Source organism: Homo sapiens, chromosome 14 (genome assembly GCF_000001405.40).
Source record: "Homo sapiens chromosome 14, GRCh38.p14 Primary Assembly".
In the NCBI taxonomy this organism is placed as follows: domain Eukaryota; kingdom Metazoa; phylum Chordata; class Mammalia; order Primates; family Hominidae; genus Homo; species Homo sapiens.
The window spans coordinates 61,433,607-61,452,872 of NC_000014.9; the positions used below are offsets into that span (position 1 = coordinate 61,433,607).

General features: G+C 40.8%; 1 protein-coding gene across 8 annotated transcripts in view, besides 1 other annotated feature; it reads left to right on the forward strand.

Moving 5' to 3' along the window:
- The window catches only part of PRKCH (protein kinase C eta), a 363,509-nt gene that overhangs the window by 246,139 nt on the left and 98,104 nt on the right, over nt 1-19,266 (forward strand). For all 8 annotated transcript variants that reach the window (XM_024449661.2, NM_006255.5, XM_011536957.2 and 5 more), the window contains exons 3-6: nt 9,505-9,655; nt 12,086-12,120; nt 15,558-15,646; nt 17,236-17,365. In XM_024449661.2, coding sequence (XP_024305429.1) covers nt 9,561-9,655; nt 12,086-12,120; nt 15,558-15,646; nt 17,236-17,365 — 349 coding nt within the window. In that variant the 5' untranslated portion in view covers nt 9,505-9,560. The remainder of the gene's footprint in view (nt 1-9,504; nt 9,656-12,085; nt 12,121-15,557; nt 15,647-17,235; nt 17,366-19,266) is intronic.
- Nucleotides 5,667-6,036: an enhancer, noted in NCBI's record as "active region_8492". NCBI's record gives its function as "activates an Ori minimal core promoter by ATAC-STARR-seq in GM12878 lymphoblastoid cells {active_cell/tissue: GM12878}" and the evidence as "EXISTENCE:reporter gene assay evidence [ECO:0000049][PMID:35858748]".

Here is a 19,266-nt window from a genome sequence, read left to right on the forward strand (position 1 = left end):
CCCTGCTTTCACGGGGATCATATGATCGTGCTATCAGCTTACTTTTAAGTTGTGATAATGTATACATACTTTATGAAATATGATTAAATGGTAACTTTAGTATTAGTGGCTACAAGAACAGAAACAGCAACTTTTAAAAAGATATGAAAAGATGTTTTGGGTGAAAGTAGTTGGCTGCGCAACACATAGAGTATAACATACATCATTAATTTAAGACTGTAGATGTACAGTATATATTTGGCATGTACACCAGGATTTTCAGTGATTATTGATGTAATAAGATTTATGATTTTTAAAAAGAAACTCTTCATGATAGTTTTCTGTACCACTTACATTTTCCATAGTGATCATCATATTGTCTTTATAAACAATGACAACAATAAATCAAAAAGAGAGATCTTACATGGTGCCTCTTCTCTGACAGCTGAGACCACATCATAGCTACGTTGTTCCCTTACATTGCATTTACATTACATTTAAAATGTTATCAGGAGGACAGAGGCTCATGAATGAGACATGTTCTCTCCAGTTAAATTTAGTAAAGAAGAATCAGAGAAAAATCTCCAGATAACTGGAAAATGTTTACATTTTCAAGTATATAAAACCAGGATACATTATCTTGTTTAAGCTTGGAGTTGACAATAATACCATTTTGAGATGTTTTTCAGATAGAATGACAGTGAGAGTCATAGTGGGGTTGCACCTCCACATGATGCAACCCAAATGTGATGGAACAGAAACATTTTTCTTCATCATCCTGAAACCGAGCAGTGATGATCCGCTGAGGAATGTTTAATTTTCATGTATTAAAAAATGAAGAATGTCTGACCTACTGTTAATGAGAAAAAAAAACACCAAAAAGGAAGAAAGAAGAAGTGGCAGCTAAAAGCCTTTTTATGGATGACGTCAATAGAGGAAAATGAAATATTCATAGAATCACAGCAAGAGAATAGGAATTCTGAACATTTTTGTAGAAGGAAACTGTAGGATTCTTGCAATTGATAGTAGGACAGGAGGGAATTTCCATCCTTATGTGTGCAGAAAGGAGTAGACACAGTGAAATTTGAAGACTATTGTAAACATTTTCTACTTCACTTCACCTTGAAGAAGTCTACAGAAAGCATATATGGCATAGCTGGGCAGAGTGGCTCATGCCTGTAATCTAGCACTTTGCGAGACCAAAGAGAGAGGATCACCTGAGCCCAGGAGTTTGAGACCAGCCAGGGCAACACAGTGAGACCCCAACTCTACTTTTTAAAAGATTTTTTAAAAGCATATATGGCAGTTAAATTTCAGTGAGAAATCAGGACCAGGGTAAATGTAAATACATTACTATAGCAGATAAATAAATATGGATGCCCCACCCATATTTCCTTTCATCCCACAACAGAAAGCTGGAAATGCTGAAAAATTAATACCTCCCACCCCTGAAGCAGCCATCAGCCAGTGAGGAATGGGAGCCAGAGGATAAATAACCCAACTTCCTCACCCGCTGAGGGTGTTCAACCAGGTCCTTGAAATTCCCGACAGGAATCGAGCCTCAGTTGCCCACCCTGGAAACCTGCTCAGTAATACGCTTATCGTTGGTTTCCTTCCCTTTCCTGTCTCACTTCTGTAATCCCCTGGTGCATCTGGGGGTTCCTTCCCGAATAAACTACTTGCAACTTAAGTCCCTATCTTGAACTCTGCTCCTGGGGGAATCCAAACAAGAACAGGTGGAGACAGAGTAGAACAAGGATAAGCAAAGCAAGAGAGGAGATCTGAAGACGTCTCTAAGGTTGTTTGAGTGACTCCAAGGATAGTGGTACAATTAGCTAGGAGAAAGAGAGGGTGGAGGAGGCCGAGAAGAGGGTTCAGCCCAACAAATGCCAAGTTTTAGGTAGCTTGGGGATACCTTGAAGAGATGCTGACAAGCTACTTAGAAATAAGTTTATTAGCTAGAAGCCGGAGCTGGCCAGGCACAGTGGTATGCACCTGTAGTCCCAGCTACTCTGGAGGCTCAGGTGGGAGGATGGCTTGAGTCCAGAAGCTGTTTGAGGTCAGCCTGGGCAATGTAATGAGACCTCATCTCAATATCAACAAACCTTATCTCAATATAAATGAATGAATGAATGAATGAATGAATGAATGAATGAAACCAGAGCTATAGCTGTATATTTGGGAATCCTCAGTGTACAGGCAGTTGATGAATGAACATCCAGAAAGACTAGAAGCATGGTATGCAGGGAACCTTGGAGCATACACATATTTAAAAATTGGGTGGAGGAGAAAAGCCAGTGAAGGAGACTAAGAAAGACGATTATAGAGAGAAGAACCAGAGCTGTTATTGGAGCCAAGGCCTCTTTCTTCAAGGACTGAGAAGGGGAGAGTTTGTACTTTGGAGTTTGCACAGATCACAGACATGAAAAAGGAAAGATGATGATGAGTGGAAAATGGGAGGTCAGGACTCTCCTCCCATCCTGATGTGGCAAGAGGCTTTTCTCATGGTTCTGGATGGAACTTTGGCCCTGTTGCAGATGCTCACATGCAACGTTCTGTTCTAATCACTGTTCTGCTGGCAGAGGAGGCTGGAGTGATGAGTGAGCATGGGCTCAGCTTGCGTGGATGCTATGAGCCGTAGGTCCTACTCAAGAGAGTCAGTCTAGTAACAAATTATTTTCCTCTCCTTCTTTTGCCATCCCATTTAGTTTGCAGGATGGTTGGTGTTTGTGTGGGCTGAGATTCCTCAGAGGGAACCAAAGCCCTGAGAAACATGTGTAGCAGCTGTTGATTTGGGTCTCCACAGTGAGATCCGGGTCTAATACAGTGAGTCCAACCACTTTATCTGAGTTTGGAAATAACTATGAGTACATAGTTAAGCTGTTTTCAAAAAACACAGAGGATTCTGTACTGCTAGTGCCATTGAGGGGGCTTTTGCTGCCATTTATTTTCAACTTATTTTTTTGAGGTGGAGTCTCACTCTGTCGCCCAGGTTGGAGTATAATGGCGTGATCTCAGCTCACAGCAACCTCTGCCTCCCAGGTTCAAGCAATCCTCCTGCCTCAGCCTCCTGAGTAGCTGGGATTACAGGTGCCCGCCACCAGGCCTGGCTAATTTTTGTATTTTTAATAGAGATGGGGTTTCACCATGTTGGCCAGACGGTCTTGAACTCCTGACCTCAGGTCATCTGCCCGCCTCAGCCTTCCAAAGTGCTGGGATTACAGGCATGAGCCGCCACACCCGGCCTTGCTGCCATTTTTAAATACCAAAACCTTTTGTTGCAGTCTTTGTCACAGGTGCTGGCACAAAATTCCTGGTACCTTCTCCCTGCTCTAATTCACCAAGTTCTCCTTCCTCTTTTCCAAAGACTACTAACATGGAAGTCTTCCTTAATTAGTTACAGGACTATATCTGCAACTCCTGTGATTTATTCGCTCAGTGCCCGTGTCACTGTCACCCACTGGTGGGGTGTGCTTGTTGTAAATACCCATTTAAATGTTTACATTTTCAAGTATATAAAACCAGGATTGTAAAATACCGTTGTATTTCCAGTTGTAAATAGCCGTTTAGTTAAGTTAGGCATTTGTTTATCACGCGTCCTAATCTCTGTTTGTGTCGTTACTGTCTCAGAGATCATCATCATCTGTGTTTACATTTTTATGCATCATTCTTTATGCAAGTAGTTCTTATTCAGTGTTTTTGATGATGTTAAGCAAAATTCTGTTGCTACCTTACCTCATTACCTTCCCGGGATATATTTTGCAGATATAAACCAATAATATTTTCTGGTTCTTTCTTGACTAGTAGCTTTTGGTTAACTCTAAGGTTTTTCTGTTTGTTTTTCTCACAGTTGTTTTCTCCCACGTGTACAAATGATAAAACAAATTATCTCAGGAAGAAGAAAAAAGACATTTGATAGTATATCCAGTAGTTCAACAATAGTCAACGGAGTCTGGTGTCCTCACTTCTGTCATTGGCTGCTTGACCTCACTTAACCTTCCTGTTAGTTTCTGTTTCCTCACTAGAAAATTTATTACTTTCTAGGGATACCAGGAGACCTGGTGTTAATAAAGGGCACAGTGCAGGGTGTGTGGAAGATTTTAGTGTCAGTTCTAGCACAAGCTAGCTAAATGTGTCTCGGGGTACATTAACTTCTCTAGGCCCCAATTTCCTAGGTATTCATTCTTCTTCTAGACAATAGACAGTTGAATTAAAAAATCCTTTCTATCGACCAGGTGCAATGGCTCACACCTGTAATCCCAGCAGTTTGGGAGGCCGAGGCAGGAGGATCACTTGAGCCCGTGAGTTTGAGACCAGCCTAGCAACACAGCAAGACCCTGTCTCTTAAAAAAAAAAATCCTTTCTATTCCTAGAACTCTAGGGTAGTGTGAAGTAAGGGTTTTCACAGTTACACTAGGTAAGTTACTACCTGTCGGGTACTTCTCTAATTATGCTGTGCTTATTAACTTATCAAGTCCTCAAATGGCCCTATGAGGAACATATCCTTTATGTTCTATAGATGAGGAAACTGAAGCATTGGATGTTAAACAACTTGCCCAGGGCCACCGAGCTTATAAGGGAAGAAGCCGTCTGCACACCCCAGGCTCCAGATTCCACAGCCTCAACCACCAAACTCTCTTGTCTGTCGTCATATAGAAGGCTGTTCTGTTTTCTCAGTGTAGCCCCCTTAAAGATAAGCCACAGTAAACCACAGTGCTTTTGATATTAGGCAAATTAAACTTGAGTTCAATCGTATGTTACACTGAATCAAAGTTATATTCGCTGTGCATTTTACGCCAGTAATTCTGGAAACTAAAAAGTGCCATGCCAGAAATTTTCTCTGATTTAATTTGCTTACAATCATTTTAAAAATGAGGAGCTGTGATCCACGCTTTTGCCCCAGGTTGGAATATTTTAGAAGTACTTTCAAATATATATTTCTGCTGCTGGGATATAAAACCATAAATTCGAGCAGATAGAACAAAAGACCAAAGAGGATGATGTATTTACTGTTTTTGAGTTAAAGTTACAACAGTTTACAGAATCACAGCAACCGAGAATAGGAGTTCTCAGAGACATACTCCTCATCCACAGAAGCCTCACATGACCAACACAAGTTTCAGTCCAGTGCAACTTTTTGCAAATGAAAACTTACCCTGGGGTTGTTTGGTGACTCCTAGTCACATGTGCTTTCTAAAGTTCTCAAAACAAGCATGGGGTGACAGTCCAGTTTTATGAAATATAATTTTAGTTCAGAAGAGATGGGATTTTAGAATAGTTAATCTTCATTATATTTGACATAATTACTCTGCACCCTGTGGATGGGGTGGCTTTTCAAAACCCACTTCTGGTGAGGCAGACCAGGGCTCCAGGCCAGCACCCCTCTGGAGATTGGAATGTGAATTTCCGTGCTGGGACACAGAGCCAGCTTCCTATTTATTTAGAGCCATTGGGCACCTAAGGAGCCAAACAGAAGTTGTGATGCAAGTTTTGGCTGCAGAGCATGTTAGGGTTGCCTGACGTGTCTAACTAAAACATGATCTGAGAGATTTCTCAAAGCCCTGGTTGATTTAAGCACCATAGTATTCAATAGGGTTTTTTTTTAGTCCTTTTAACTCAGTCCTAAGTAAACAGGAGGCGGTGCAAACAATGAGGAAGTTCCCTCTGCATTCCGATGGTGAAGTGGGGTTGGAGTCTGTAGGCAAGTGAAGAGCGTGTGGGAGAGCTGTTTCCTTTTGCTCATGGCAGCAGTCTAGAACATGGTGACAGTGAAAGTCATTGGAAGCCATGGGGGCCCATTTTCTTTATGTGACCAAATGTCTTGCAAAGTCCCAGGTGTGTGTGTAGGTGCATGAGTGTGTATGTTTGTTTTCTAAACGAAGCACACGTGCAAAATAATGTAAAAGGGCAGAGTGAAGTTTGTCCATGTCCCTGTATGAAAGTGCATGGGAAGTGCCTGGGGCAGAAGTGAAAGAGACACGGCCCCAGGTCGTGAGAGAAGACATTGAGGTGCACTCCCGGCCTGCTGTGGGAACAGTGGGTTAGCATGTCACCGGTGCACTCCCAGGCTGCTGTGGCAACAGTGGGTTAGCATGTCACCCGGCTTTAGGATTTGGGGGAGTTTGCTCAGGCTCTGAGGCAGGTAGGTTAAGGCTAATTTAACTCTTAATGGTTGGAAGGAAAGAGGGAAGGGCCGTTTAGGAAGGTGAAAAGGCAGGAGTGAAGGTGGCAAGAAATGATTGGCATGCAGTTTTTTCCTAAATCCTCCTCTGGTTATAAGGAATCAACTGGAAAATTGCAGTGGCAATAGCTGTTAAGAAAAAAAATAGGATTCAGTTGATGAAATATTAAACATGCAAGTGGGCTGGTCTTTTAACCAATCTTTGTAGTATTAAGGGATTAAAAAGTTAATTCTTGGTAATTAGATCCCCAGGGAGAACTTAATTTGCATCTATACATGATAAGTGTTTACTATTAATAATTCAAGACAAGTTTTGCTTTGGCCGGTATTGAGCTGGGTCTCAGGCTGGTGATAACAGAGGCTGGATAGAGAGTGATACCATTAGCCTAATTTTGTCATCTGCAAGCAAAGGAATGTTAAAATCTGTTCACTTCGTGGTTTCTAAATGACTTCTAGAAGTATCATGAGTGGAAGAGGGCAGTGTAGTGTAGTAACTTTTGTTCTTCCGCAGTCCTTAGAACCTGTCAGGATTATTGGTTATGACACTGTTCCCACAGGGTGGACAACAGGGGCATTTTTATCTTCTTGAGACATATGGGAAACTTAAGAAGGAAAGTAACTAGGCTGTTTGCCAAAGATTACACCTACCTCCAAACAAAAACTGAGGCAGGTATAATTTTAACTGTGCTGGAATCTCTGAAGATGTTGGTGTCTTGGCCAAATTCATTTGGACTCTTTCTGCATTTCACTCTTTGAGATCTATTGTGTAGACTCTAATTTCTTTGACAGGTATTGTCACATTGGTCTCCACAAAAATTATTATTGAAAGCCAGGCATGGTGGCTCACGCCTGTAATCCCAGCACTTTGGGAGGCTGAGGCGGGTGGATCACAAGGTCAAGAGATCAAGACCATCCTGGCCAACATGGTGAAACCCTGTCTCTACTAAAAATACGAAAATTAGCTGGGCTTGGTGGTGTGCACCTGTAGTCCCAGCTGCTTGGGAGGCTGAGGCAGGAGAATAGCTTGAACCTGGGAGGTGGAGGTTGCAATGAGCTGAGAACACGCCACTGCACTCCAGCCTGGTGACAGAGTTAAACTCTATCCAAAAATAAAAATAAAAAATAAAAAATTATTATTGAAATAACTACATTTTTTTTCTTTTTTTTTTGGAGAGAAAGTCTTGCTCTGTTGCCCAGCTGAAGTGCAGAGGTGCAATCATGGCTCATTATAGCCTCAACCTCCTGGGCTCAAGTGATCCTCCCTAGTAGCTGAGACCACAGGTGCACACTTGGCTTTTTTTAAAATTTTTTTTGGTAGAGAAGGAGTTTCATTATGTTGCCAGACTGGTCTCCAATTCCTAGGCTCAAGTGATCTCCCACCTCAGCCTCCCAAATTTCTAGAATTAAAGATGTGAGCCACTGCACTTGCCCTAAATAACTACATTTTTTTGAATGCTGCGATGTGCCTAGCTTTGTGCTAAGCTCTTTGAATGTGTTACCTGATTCAGTCCTTGGGAAAACCCTAGGAAGAAGGGGCCACCTGATTTCTAGATGGGAACCCTGAGGCTTAGCAAGAAAAAGAGAGCCGGTGTGGTAGGGTCAGGACTGGAGCCCGGTTTATACTCCTACTGACAGGATGGGGATGCCTGTTTCACCTCACCCTTGTTAAAAAGGACACTTTAGCAATCCTTTTAAGTATTTGCCAGCTTAAGAGGTAAAAATGTGATTTAGCTTCTGGTTCTTATGCGTCCGTCTTGGGTAGCATTGGACATCTTGGCATGGTTATTGGCTGTTTGCACTTACAGTTTTAGGAATTGCCTCTTCACATCCTCTGCCCCATTTTTACTGGATTGTTCATACTTTTAAAAATTGATTTCTGTGTATTATAAATAGTAACCCTTTGTCATGTGTTACAAGTCCTCTTCTCCCTCAGTTTCTTTCTTTCAATTTTCTGCTTTGTATTTTTTTTTTTTTTTTTGCCAAATAGAACTTTAAATTTCTTAAATTGCAAATCTGTGAACTTTGGATGCCTTTAGAGTTTATTATCCCTTTAAAAAAATTTTTTTAAGAGATGGGGCCTCAGTATATTGTCCAGGTGGTCTTGAACTCCTGGACTCAAGCAGTCCTCCTGCCTCAGCCTCCCAAAGTGTTGGTATTACAGACATGAGCTACTGTACCCGGCCAAGTTTTATTATCCTTATCTTATCCTAGGAGTATAATATTTTTCTGTGTTTTCTTATTGTTCTATAATTTCCTTTGTAACAGGTATCTGAGATTATCTTTGAAATCTTCTGTCTCTTCCAGGGTTTAAAATTTTTTAGCAAATTATTATTTCATGGTTTCTTAAATTTCCTTTGTTTCAATGATTAAAGCATTATTGAGGAAATAAGCTATATTTTATTAATCACAAGTCTCTGCATACACTAGAAAAATTCTAGTATAATTATTTGGAAGACATAATGATGTAGTTTTCAGAGTCCTCAGATTAGAAGCCACTGTTTTAAAAGCGTGAGGTTAGAAAAGGAATTTTGCACCTATTCCAGGTTAATTTCTACCTATTCCAGGTTAACAGAGGTGATCCTGTACCAATGGGTTTTGGACAGAGCTCTCATAGTCTGTGCTGTGGGCGATTCCCTCATTTAGTTTGCGAGGATACCAGAATTAAAGGAAAATAATGAGAAATGCTTATAGCTCATAGATAGACGCGAGGTCACAGACAGCCAGACTGGAGCTAGGAGACCATGCTGATGTCACATACTGCCCTATCAGAACCCTGGGAAACCCTTGGTCTGTGCTACAAGAGATTGGCCCATGATAGCCAGTTATAACCAGGCAGTGGGCATCTCAGGGGTTTGCATAGGTCTAACCTTAAAAAGCCACATGACTGGGTGCGGTGACACACACTTGTAATCCCAGCACTTTGGGAGGCCAAGACACAAGGATCACCTGAACCTGGGAGTTGGAGACCAGCTCTGGCATCACAGTGAGACCTCCATCTCTATTAAAAAAAAATTATTTTTAATTAGCTGGGTATGGTGGTGCATGCCTGTAGTCCCAGCACCTTGGGTTGCTGAGGTAGGAGCATCACTTGGGCCTGAGAGTTCAAGGCTGCAGTAAGCCATGATTGAGCCACTGCACTTCAGCTTGGGTGACAGAGTGAGGTCCTGTCTCAAAGTAAAGAGTCCTGTTAGGAAGCCATAATGATTTTAGGGGGGATGGTTTAGATCTTGAAGAAAGAAAAAATAATTTGAGGAGTGAGCACTTGAACTATCAAACTTTCTCATCTATTAGGTGCGTTAGGTTCCTTACATCTTATTCTTTTTTTCCTTCCTTTTAATATATAGCTACTCTCCAGAGAGACCGGATCTTCAAACATTTTACCAGGAAGCGCCAAAGGGCTATGCGAAGGCGAGTCCACCAGATCAATGGACACAAGTTCATGGCCACGTATCTGAGGCAGCCCACCTACTGCTCTCACTGCAGGGAGTTTATCTGGTAAGGGGTTCCCTTACTTCTGTCCTCCTCAGAGCTTCCATCTAATAGGCTTCCTCTGGTTATGTATGACTTCAGCAGAATGCATGATTATTTAAGAATTCTTTCAGGATCTGATTTTTGCCTCTTACTCTAGTATGTTGACCCAGTAATTTAAATCTCCATTGCAAAAACATCTAAATAATTTACAGATCCAAGTTTTAGATACCATTTCTTTTTAAAATCATCTTGGTAAAGATGCTAATGAATCCTAAACTGGTCAACAAGCATAAATCAGAGAAAAAGGCTAATAAGTCAATAAACAATCAGTAAATTGGATAATCAGCCCCTAAGGACCAAAGAATAATCAACAGTATTGCTTTAAGAAGGCATGAATCGCATAATGACTTATGGAAATTAATGGTTGCGAGAAAACTAAACACAAAGTAGTCTTCGGCCTCTTGGTATGTAACAGAAGATAATAGCCTTCAGTGATCATATACTGTAATCTAATCCCTAGGAATTAGTAGGAACTAAGATAATTCAACATTGAGAAATTCTAGAGATTTGGGGCAATATCTTACTAGACATACAACTGAAGCTTAAGTCTCAGTCTCAGTGGCAAATGTAAAATAAATTTAAGCAGTAGTTATCTTTAGTGATAAATTAAGCATACTTATTTGGAAAGGGAAGAAAGAAAGATGCCCTCACACACCCATCTCAGAAGGAGAAAACACAGTTTGGTAGCGTGAAAGGAGATCTATATTTTTGTTGTCAACTTTAATTATTTTGTTTAGTGAAGGCAGAAGCCCTTGGATCAGAGCAGTTTCTGAATGTTGATCAATTACTTTGTATTTTGTTTTCTGTGATTATTTTGGATTTTATATCTTCAACAGTCAGAACCTAGGGCTAGTTAGTATTTCTGACATTTTTAATCAAGAAACAACGATTTTGAGATGCTAAACCAGCTGTAGATATGAAGCCAACAAATGTGTCATAACATTTATTGTATTTAGGGAAAAAATTGTATTACTTTTTTTTGGGAAAAAATTAGCAGCCCTGGCGTCTTTGAGTTCACGTTTCCTCTTTGCATGAGGCTGCACTCGACTTAGCCACAGCCCCACCTCTCTGTGGTTTGCTCACTTGTGACCTAAGGGTGCTTGCCTCTTGCAGTGTATTTCATGTCACACTTTTCTGTTTCTTTTACATGACCTGCCAGGCCCCTGTAGGCATTAGTGGTGATGGCCCCTGACCTGAACTGACATTCATAATGGAAACTTATTTGATCATTTCACTGACTTTTTTCCACCAGAGAAACATTAACTGTACCCAACCAGCCTTTAACGCTCCCCCCCTCCACACCCATACACTGTCACCCTCATACTCTCTCTCTCACACACACTTAAAATATTGGTGTATATATTAATATATATGGCTAAGAGTATGGACTCTGACATCCAGTCTCATCACCAACTGGGTGTGTGACTTAGTCAAGTTGCGTAGCCTGTCAATGTCTCTTCATTTGCAAAATAGACACAACAATCTTATTTTACTTGTATAATAAACTTTCATATAGTACTTAAAGGGCCAGGCACTATTGTGAGCATTTTATATTACAACTTTTAATCTTCATTAGAGCCCTGTGCAGTAGGAACGGTTATCATTAGTCCCTTTTATGGATGAGGAAACTGTGGCTCAAAGCATCAGGTCATCTGGCTTCAGAGTCTGTGCTCTTAACCATGTTATTTTGTGTGCTGCCTCCCGTGGCTTTTTGTGAGGATTAAATGAAATGGTATATATCAGCTGCTTGGTTCAGTGCCTGGCACATCCTATGGGCTTAGTTACTGTGGTCTTTGTTAATGAGAATGAGAATACTCCTAATGTTACCATCATTATCATCACCCATAGAATATATTTGGGAGAGGCAAAGATGGAAGTGGTGGGCCTGAAGGGCATATTGTGGCAGCAACTCTGCCCACCTGTGGACTCCAGGGGTGATATGGACACAGGGACAAGGGCAGGTCCCCTGGGACAGGCAGCTGCGGTAGACTCATCTGTGCACTTCCACAGTGTATCTGTGTCCGTTTACTTCAGCATCTGAACATCTTTATGTGAGAGAGAATAAGGTGGGAACTCTTCAGGCCAAGGCTTAATCACACGTACAGATGAGGATTTATTGCCACTGAGGACTTAGGAAATTGCCATGGAGGTAGATGGAATGGGAATGGTTTTTACCCACCCATTTGTATCATACAGCACATTCTAATCCAGCACATGGTTTTTTCTGGTGTCTCATAGTAACAAACAATGGCTCAGAAAGCACATGATCTTTGCTTCTTCCCTGAAATTGTGTTTTTCATAAAGGAGGAGAGGATGAAATTTGTTTTCCTTAAGGACTATAAGAGGGTTATTGCTGAAATACTTGACTGATGGTAGTTTTCTTCTCTTCAACAGGGGAGTGTTTGGGAAACAGGGTTATCAGTGCCAAGGTAAGGAAACATTTTTAAAACCATGTTTCATTTTGTTCCTATGTTAAAAGAAATGATTATACCAAGAGAAAACAGGGTATCTTCCCTTAATATTGTGATAAATAACTCTCTGTAGGTCAAAGGAAACCCCTGTGTAGATACAACTCTTTAGTTTGGTGAGATCTTGGCCATATTTTAGACAATGTAAAGGGGACGTTTTTATTTCTAAAGCCAGGATACCTAATAAATTTTCATTGTTTAAAGTCTTGTCTCTGCAGTAACATGAGAGTACTAAAAGGTAATGTGATTTTGTGAGCATACTCTTAAATTTTGAAGATAAACTTTTGTTTTTTACAATCCTATTGATAATAGATAGGGATGAAAAGTAGCACACTGCTGTTTTCTCTTTTTCCCCGTCCAGGGAACATAAGCTATTATCCAAGTTGTTTTTTGAAATGTTATGATTTCAAAAAAAAAAAAAAAAAGTGAGAAATGTTCAAAGTTAAGCTGTCAGTGATCTTGTAAGTTACTACATGTTATATTTAGTTTTCACAATCTAAGATGAAACCAATTTACTAGTGTTTCTAGCATAATTGGAAAGAAATACAATGGCAGGAATGGAAGAAGAGCCCTCAGTCAGGTGGTTTAGCCAGGCCCATCAGGCTTGCCTGTCATTTGGGTTCCCCCTTAACCTTTGACATGAGTATCATCACATAGTTTATACACATGGTACCTGTTTCACTATGTGGATGATTGATAAAATAGCACCACATATCCTAGAGCAGTAGCCTATGTGTGGATAAGAAAATCTCACCTTCTCTTCTGGAAGATGTGAGGTAAAACATTACTTCCCTTGGATGGACTGAATAAGACATACTCTTGGATCTAATTTTGACTTTACTATGTATGAACAATTCCATTGAACTTTCAAAGTTAGGAAAAAACAAATATATAATCAATATGACAGCAATAATTGACCTGTATGCTGTTAATCTCAGTCCCAAGTGAGAAGACAGTTCACAAGCCAGAATCGCTGTCACTTTGTGGCATGGGCCTGTGAGCACAGGAATATGCCCTGCAGTCCATGGTAGCCCATCTTATGCACACCAAGATAAGTTGAGAAGCTCTGGATAAACAAGATTATGGTTTTGAGTTTAAAACATGGGATTTAAGATACATCTCTATTGTTATTTTATTTCTTTTTCTCTTTGTCCTATAGTGCCTGGATATTTGATGGCCTGATTTTCAGTGGGTCACCTGCTATGTAAAGAGCAGGGAAGACTATTAGTTAGGAGACATGCAGACACCACTTTGGTGATGTCTCCCTAAGGCATATAAAACCAAATGCCTGGTTGGAGAGAGGTATGCCATTCTAACACTGATCAAAAGCAAACTGGCATAGGTATTTCAGACAGAGCAGACTTCAGAAAAAGGAAAATTATCAGGAATAAAGAGGGGACAACAATAAAGGGGTCAGTTTTCCAAGAAGACTTAACATTTTTATTTGTTTTGTTTTATTTAAAGACCAGTGTAGTAGTACATAACAATTTTTAACATGTATGTATGTACCTAGCAACAGGAATCAAAATACATGGGACAAACTGATAGAATCACAAGGAAAAATGAACAAATCCACTTCTATAGTTGGAGACTTCAATATCTCAGTAATTGATAGATCCAGCAGGCAGGGAATCAGTAGGGATATAGGTGATCTAAACAGCATTATCACAACTAGGTGAAATTGACGTTTATAGAATACTTCATCCAACAACAGCAGTTTTCACATTCTTCTCGGGCTCACAGGGGACATTTACCAACATAGACCACATTCTGGGCCATAAAACATACCTTACCAAATTTAAAAGAAGAGAAACCATAAACGGTATCTTCTTAGACCACAATGGAATTAAACTAGAAATCAATTACTGTAAGATAGCTGGAAAATCCCCAAATATTGGAAGGTTAAATGTCACATTCTAAGTAACACATGGGTCAAAGAAGAAGACTCAAGAGAACATAAAAAATATTTAGAGTCAAGTGAAAATGAAAATATAACTTATAAAAATATGTGTGATCCAGCAAAAGCAGTGCTCAGATGGGAATGTATATATCATTAAATGCATACAGTAGGAAAGTAGAAAGATCTAAAACCAAGATTCGAAATTTCCACCTTAGGAAACTAGAGAAGGAAGATAAATTTAAGCCTCAAGCGAGCATAAGAAAAGAAATAATACAATTAGAACAGAAATCAGTGAAGTTGAAAATAGGAAAACAACAGAGAAAATCCATGAAATCAAATGCTGATTCTTTGAAAGGATTAATTGATAAGCCTTTACCAAGCTAACCAGGAAAAAACCAAATACCTCAAAAAATAAAGTATTTCTGTGTGAAGGATGGTTTTGAGATCCCCTCATATAAAAAGACCAGTTCTCTGGGCACTTTCAATTTGGTTCTCCTGAGAATTGAATCTGATGAAAGCTAGATTTGTTTTAAGGTATGATGCTATTTACTGACATGTCACCTCTCTTTATGTAGTTAATCCTAAAACCTTCCACATGTCTTGAAAGATCTTAAGATGATATACATTTTTATACTGCTTCATTGCATGTGTTTATCCTTTGATGACAAGCTCAACTATCTGCAGTGTATCACTTATCTAGATGAGAATGAAAAAAATGTTATTCCGAAAGTTCTAAATATTTCAACAGTTGATTAAGCCATTCAGCAAACATTTATTGAATGCCTCCTCTGTTCAAGGCATCATGCAAGGAATTCTGAGGGCATTACAAGGCTGGGTGGAAGGTTTGAAATGAAGGGGCAGGCTAAGGGTTGTGGGAGATCAGAGGAGGGCAGGTGGTTTCAGTCTAGAAGTGGGGATGGGGTAGAGTATTTTCATGGAAGAGACATTTTCTGAGTTACATCTTGTCCTAAACTTAAGATTTGGTTAGTTGATAGGCAAAAAGGATATCCCAGGGAGAGAAAAGGGCATCGATAGTTTGTTGGAAGGGTCCAGGAAGAGCAACCCATGTAGTTTTTACTGGAACAAGTAGATCCCATAGAAGAAAGGTGACAGGTAGCTTGGAGCAGCCTCTGGAGGGCCTGGAACCTGGGTGGGAAATTTGAACTTTGTTGATCGGCAGTGAATTACCATGGAATGTTTTCGATTATGGGGGCAGGACTAGAGTGTTAGAAGAGTCCTCTGGTGGTGGGTGCAGGATGGAATAAAGTCAGGAAGGAAGAAATAGGCCCAGGACTTGATAAGGGATAGTTTGAGCCTGAGCAAAGGTCTGTGTTAGGATGGTGGCGAAGGCAATAGGAAGGATGGGCGCACCAGCTGCTGTCAAGGGGGCCAGACGAGTCCAGTCTTGTTGGCACGGTGCAGCCCTGGTTGACTCTGCTGTAACTGGCTGGACTGTGAGCTTCTGATAAATGTATAATTGCTGGATTTAATTTCCTAGTGTGCACCTGTGTCGTCCATAAACGCTGCCATCATCTAATTGTTACAGCCTGTACTTGCCAAAACAATATTAACAAAGTGGATTCAAAGGTAAGAGGATAGCAGTTTGCTGATTAAATGTGCGTGTGTATTGTGTATGCTGTGTACCGCCGTCTCTCTCCCTCCCTCCCTCCTTTCCTCCCCCTCTTTTCCTTCTCCCCGTCCCCAAACCTCTGCTTTCCTCCCCCTGCCACCTCCCTTCCACATTCTTTGAAGCCAAGGGTTGTATTAGAATAGAAATGTCTCTCTCCCTTTTTTTAAATTATGGCATTTATATTTCTGTATTTATGTGGCATCATCCCTCCTTTGTGAGGACCCCATTAGTGGTTGGCTGGGTATAAGCTATATGGATTGGTTCTACTTATTTGGAGAGACTTTTGGCAGAGTGAAAGGAGCCCTGAACTTGGCATCTGACAGCCTGGATTTGAATGCTGAATCCAGCCTCTGTTAGCCATCTTCTCTATGAGCTGCGGCAAGGCCTACAATCTCTCTTTTCCTCAGTCTTAAAACAGGATCAATGTTTCCCTCACACAGTTTTTGTAAGTTAAACAACATAGAATTGATGTGATACATATGTTAATAACTGTAAATTATGTTTCCTAAGTAAAAAGATTGCTGGCTTTCTCCAGCCTCTTAAGAAATTTCAGGGAAGATGTCTCTCTCTCTCTCTCTCTCTCTCTCTCTCTCTCTCTCTCTCTCTGTGTGTGTGTGTGTGTGTGTGTATGTGTATAAGCTTCAACATCATTCTTGCCACTCATATTGCATTCATCTGCAATAGGCATACATTTTAAATTCTAGAGGTAAAAGCAGATGGAGTGTTGCTGACATTTAGCAGTAGATTTGCAGAGGCATTGGAAGAATGACTCTGGAACACAATGGTTCTTTATAGTACACATATAGGATTGCTAAAGAGTATACCTAGAGGTATAAACCACAGCTTTTCCAAGAAAGAGGCCATAAAAGTTTCAAGAGGAGTAATGATTGCCCTACTCCTTGTCATGCATGGATCTGTTGTTATAGCATCAAATTGTGGTATGGACTGCAGAGTACATGCCTAGTGGAATTATTTGCTGGAAACTGAGATTTAACTCAGATTGTCAGATTGCAAATGCCAGGCAAAGAAAGGCTGGAAGAGCTGAATAAGTAGTTACTTTAATGTCACTTTGGAATAAATTCCTTCTGTGGTTCCATGGCCTCTGAGTCTCTTCTTTTTATTTTTCTTCCCGTGACACAATGTCTGGAAGAACTTACAGTGATAGCAAGTATATATAGTGTATAAAAGACCCATTTAATCCTGAAGTTAAAAGGTTCTGGGAAATAGATGGGGGTGTTAGGGGATTGGCAAGGAGAGAAATATGGCCTGAATATGAAAGATGAAGTGAAAATCTTAATTTTTATTTCTCAAAATGGCAAATGATCTAATGTGTTTCCCACATTTCTGTCTTGTCCTGTTCATTAGAAAATGTGTTTAGTCTGGTTCGTAAGACCTGAGTAATTAATCAGGGCTGAGTACAGTAAAATAATATACCTAGCTCAGGTGTCATAGTGACACTTTGCATTTGATGGGCTCCTATTACAGTTTTTACAAAGGACATTGGTATGACATTTTAGCTCTTGTCCCTTTATTTCCTTTTTTACAGATTGCAGAACAGAGGTTCGGGATCAACATCCCACACAAGTTCAGCATCCACAACTACAAAGTGCCAACATTCTGCGATCACTGTGGCTCACTGCTCTGGGGAATAATGCGACAAGGACTTCAGTGTAAAAGTGAGATGCTGAGGTGCTGGGTACCCACCTCTTCATGGGAACACTATGCCCTAAGCTTTCAGAATTCTGTGGACTCAGAATCTGTCCTAGAACTGATGGTTTTAGATATGTTGTAAATCAACATCTTAGTCATTTTAAACTTACATGTTTCTTGTCAGGCATGTAAAGAGAACTTCATCTGATGCCAACATTTTCTAATCATAGGACATTAAGTCAAATGGTATATTCAGTGATCTAGCTCGCTAGCTGACAAATACAGCCTAGACACTGTATTTTAATAGGTGTTTGGAAGAGAAAAAGATGGGATCTTAGTCAGAAATGGAAGATGGTTGAGTCAGGTGAGACACTAAAAAGAAAAAAATAAATAAAAATTTCAAAGAAATGGAAGTTAGGAGGAGGTGAGGAGGTGAGATGGCCAAATGAGAAGGTTGGGTTAAGAGTAAGAAATGGCAGAATAGATCTGATGATCTCACCAGAAATCAGCAGGAATGGAGTTGTCACAGCATAAAAAGAGCTGCCCTGGGTCTTGTGAAAGAGATTGGAGACAGGGGTAGAATGAAGGAAGATAAAGCCTTGATTGTAAGCTTGCATCTCACCAGCTGTGCCCAGTGGAGTGAGAGTTTGGAGCTTTGGCCCTAGCAAAGGCTCTGAGTGGGTGAGAGCTGATCCCTGTCCTGTTAGGAGTTAGGGAGCTGTTGGCCTTGTGCCATCTTGTATGGAAATGTAATGATCTGACTGCCGTGGGGTGCACCTGAAGCCTTTCTTATCAGACACACCCCAAGTCGCCAGTTGAGGAGAACAATGGTGAGGTAGAATTGGCATGAGTATAGCCAGACAACTTCCATTGACTGCTTGGACTTACAGAGCCTGCTTCTGTCAACAAAAAGGGGCCAGTCACTTGTCTTTAAGAAGGGCACATTCTTCTATCTCTGTAGAACACTAATAATTTTTTTCTCATAAAACCAAAACAGTAGCCAGCTCATGGATAACTTGTAGGGCGTTGGTCCAGGTGCAGCTTGATCTTAGCGTGACGGTCTCACCTGGGTATGGGTTCCCAGTGGGAAATCCCTTTCTGCCTTGCATTGTTGCTGATGCGCAGAGCCATGCATGGGGCTCATCTGCATTGTCCTCTTCCCTAGTGGCCTGAGGGTAGCACACCTGCAGCAATCCGGCTCTTGTGATTTTTGCCTTTATGGTCACTTGGTGGTTTTGAAAGGCTTCTGTAGGCTCGTGTGTCTTACACCTGTCTTCCTGAGAGGGGTGGGTTTCCCATGAAGCTTAAGTCTCAGGGCTCCTCTCTCTCAAGGGCACCTTCCAAAGCCCTCTACTTGATTTGGTGTTCTTTTTCTTAAAGAAGGCCTCCTAAATTATGTAAATTCAGGCCCCACAAAACCTGGATCTGTGTGTGCTTCCAAGATGGACTGACTCCATAAAACAGGAATGTGTTGCTTGTCGCTTCAGTTTCACCTCCCATCAGCAGGGCCCATGTCAAAAAACTGTCTCAGAATTTATTCCAGCTGATAACGCCTCAGATCCTTCATTGTCCCCAGGCAGCTTCCGGTGCCTCAGGAGCTTAGCTTTCTTTGCTCGCCTCTTCAACTGCCATTTGTACTCTGACCTTCAGAAAGTTTTAAAAGTTGCCTTTCCCCACTATGAAGCAGTTAGAACCACAGGCTGCAAATGCTGAGAACCACAGGCTCACAGGATGCCCATCTCTGTGCTGTGAGGCCTGCCCAACCACAACAATACTCAGAAAGAAAGCTGCAGATAGAGGTTTTTCTTGTAGAAACACCATTTCCATCCTGTTTGAACAGTGATCTACATGTGGCATTTAAACTGCTACCTTTTATTTCACTGTTGAGAGACAGAAAAAAATACAGTTGACATGATTCTTTGTTATT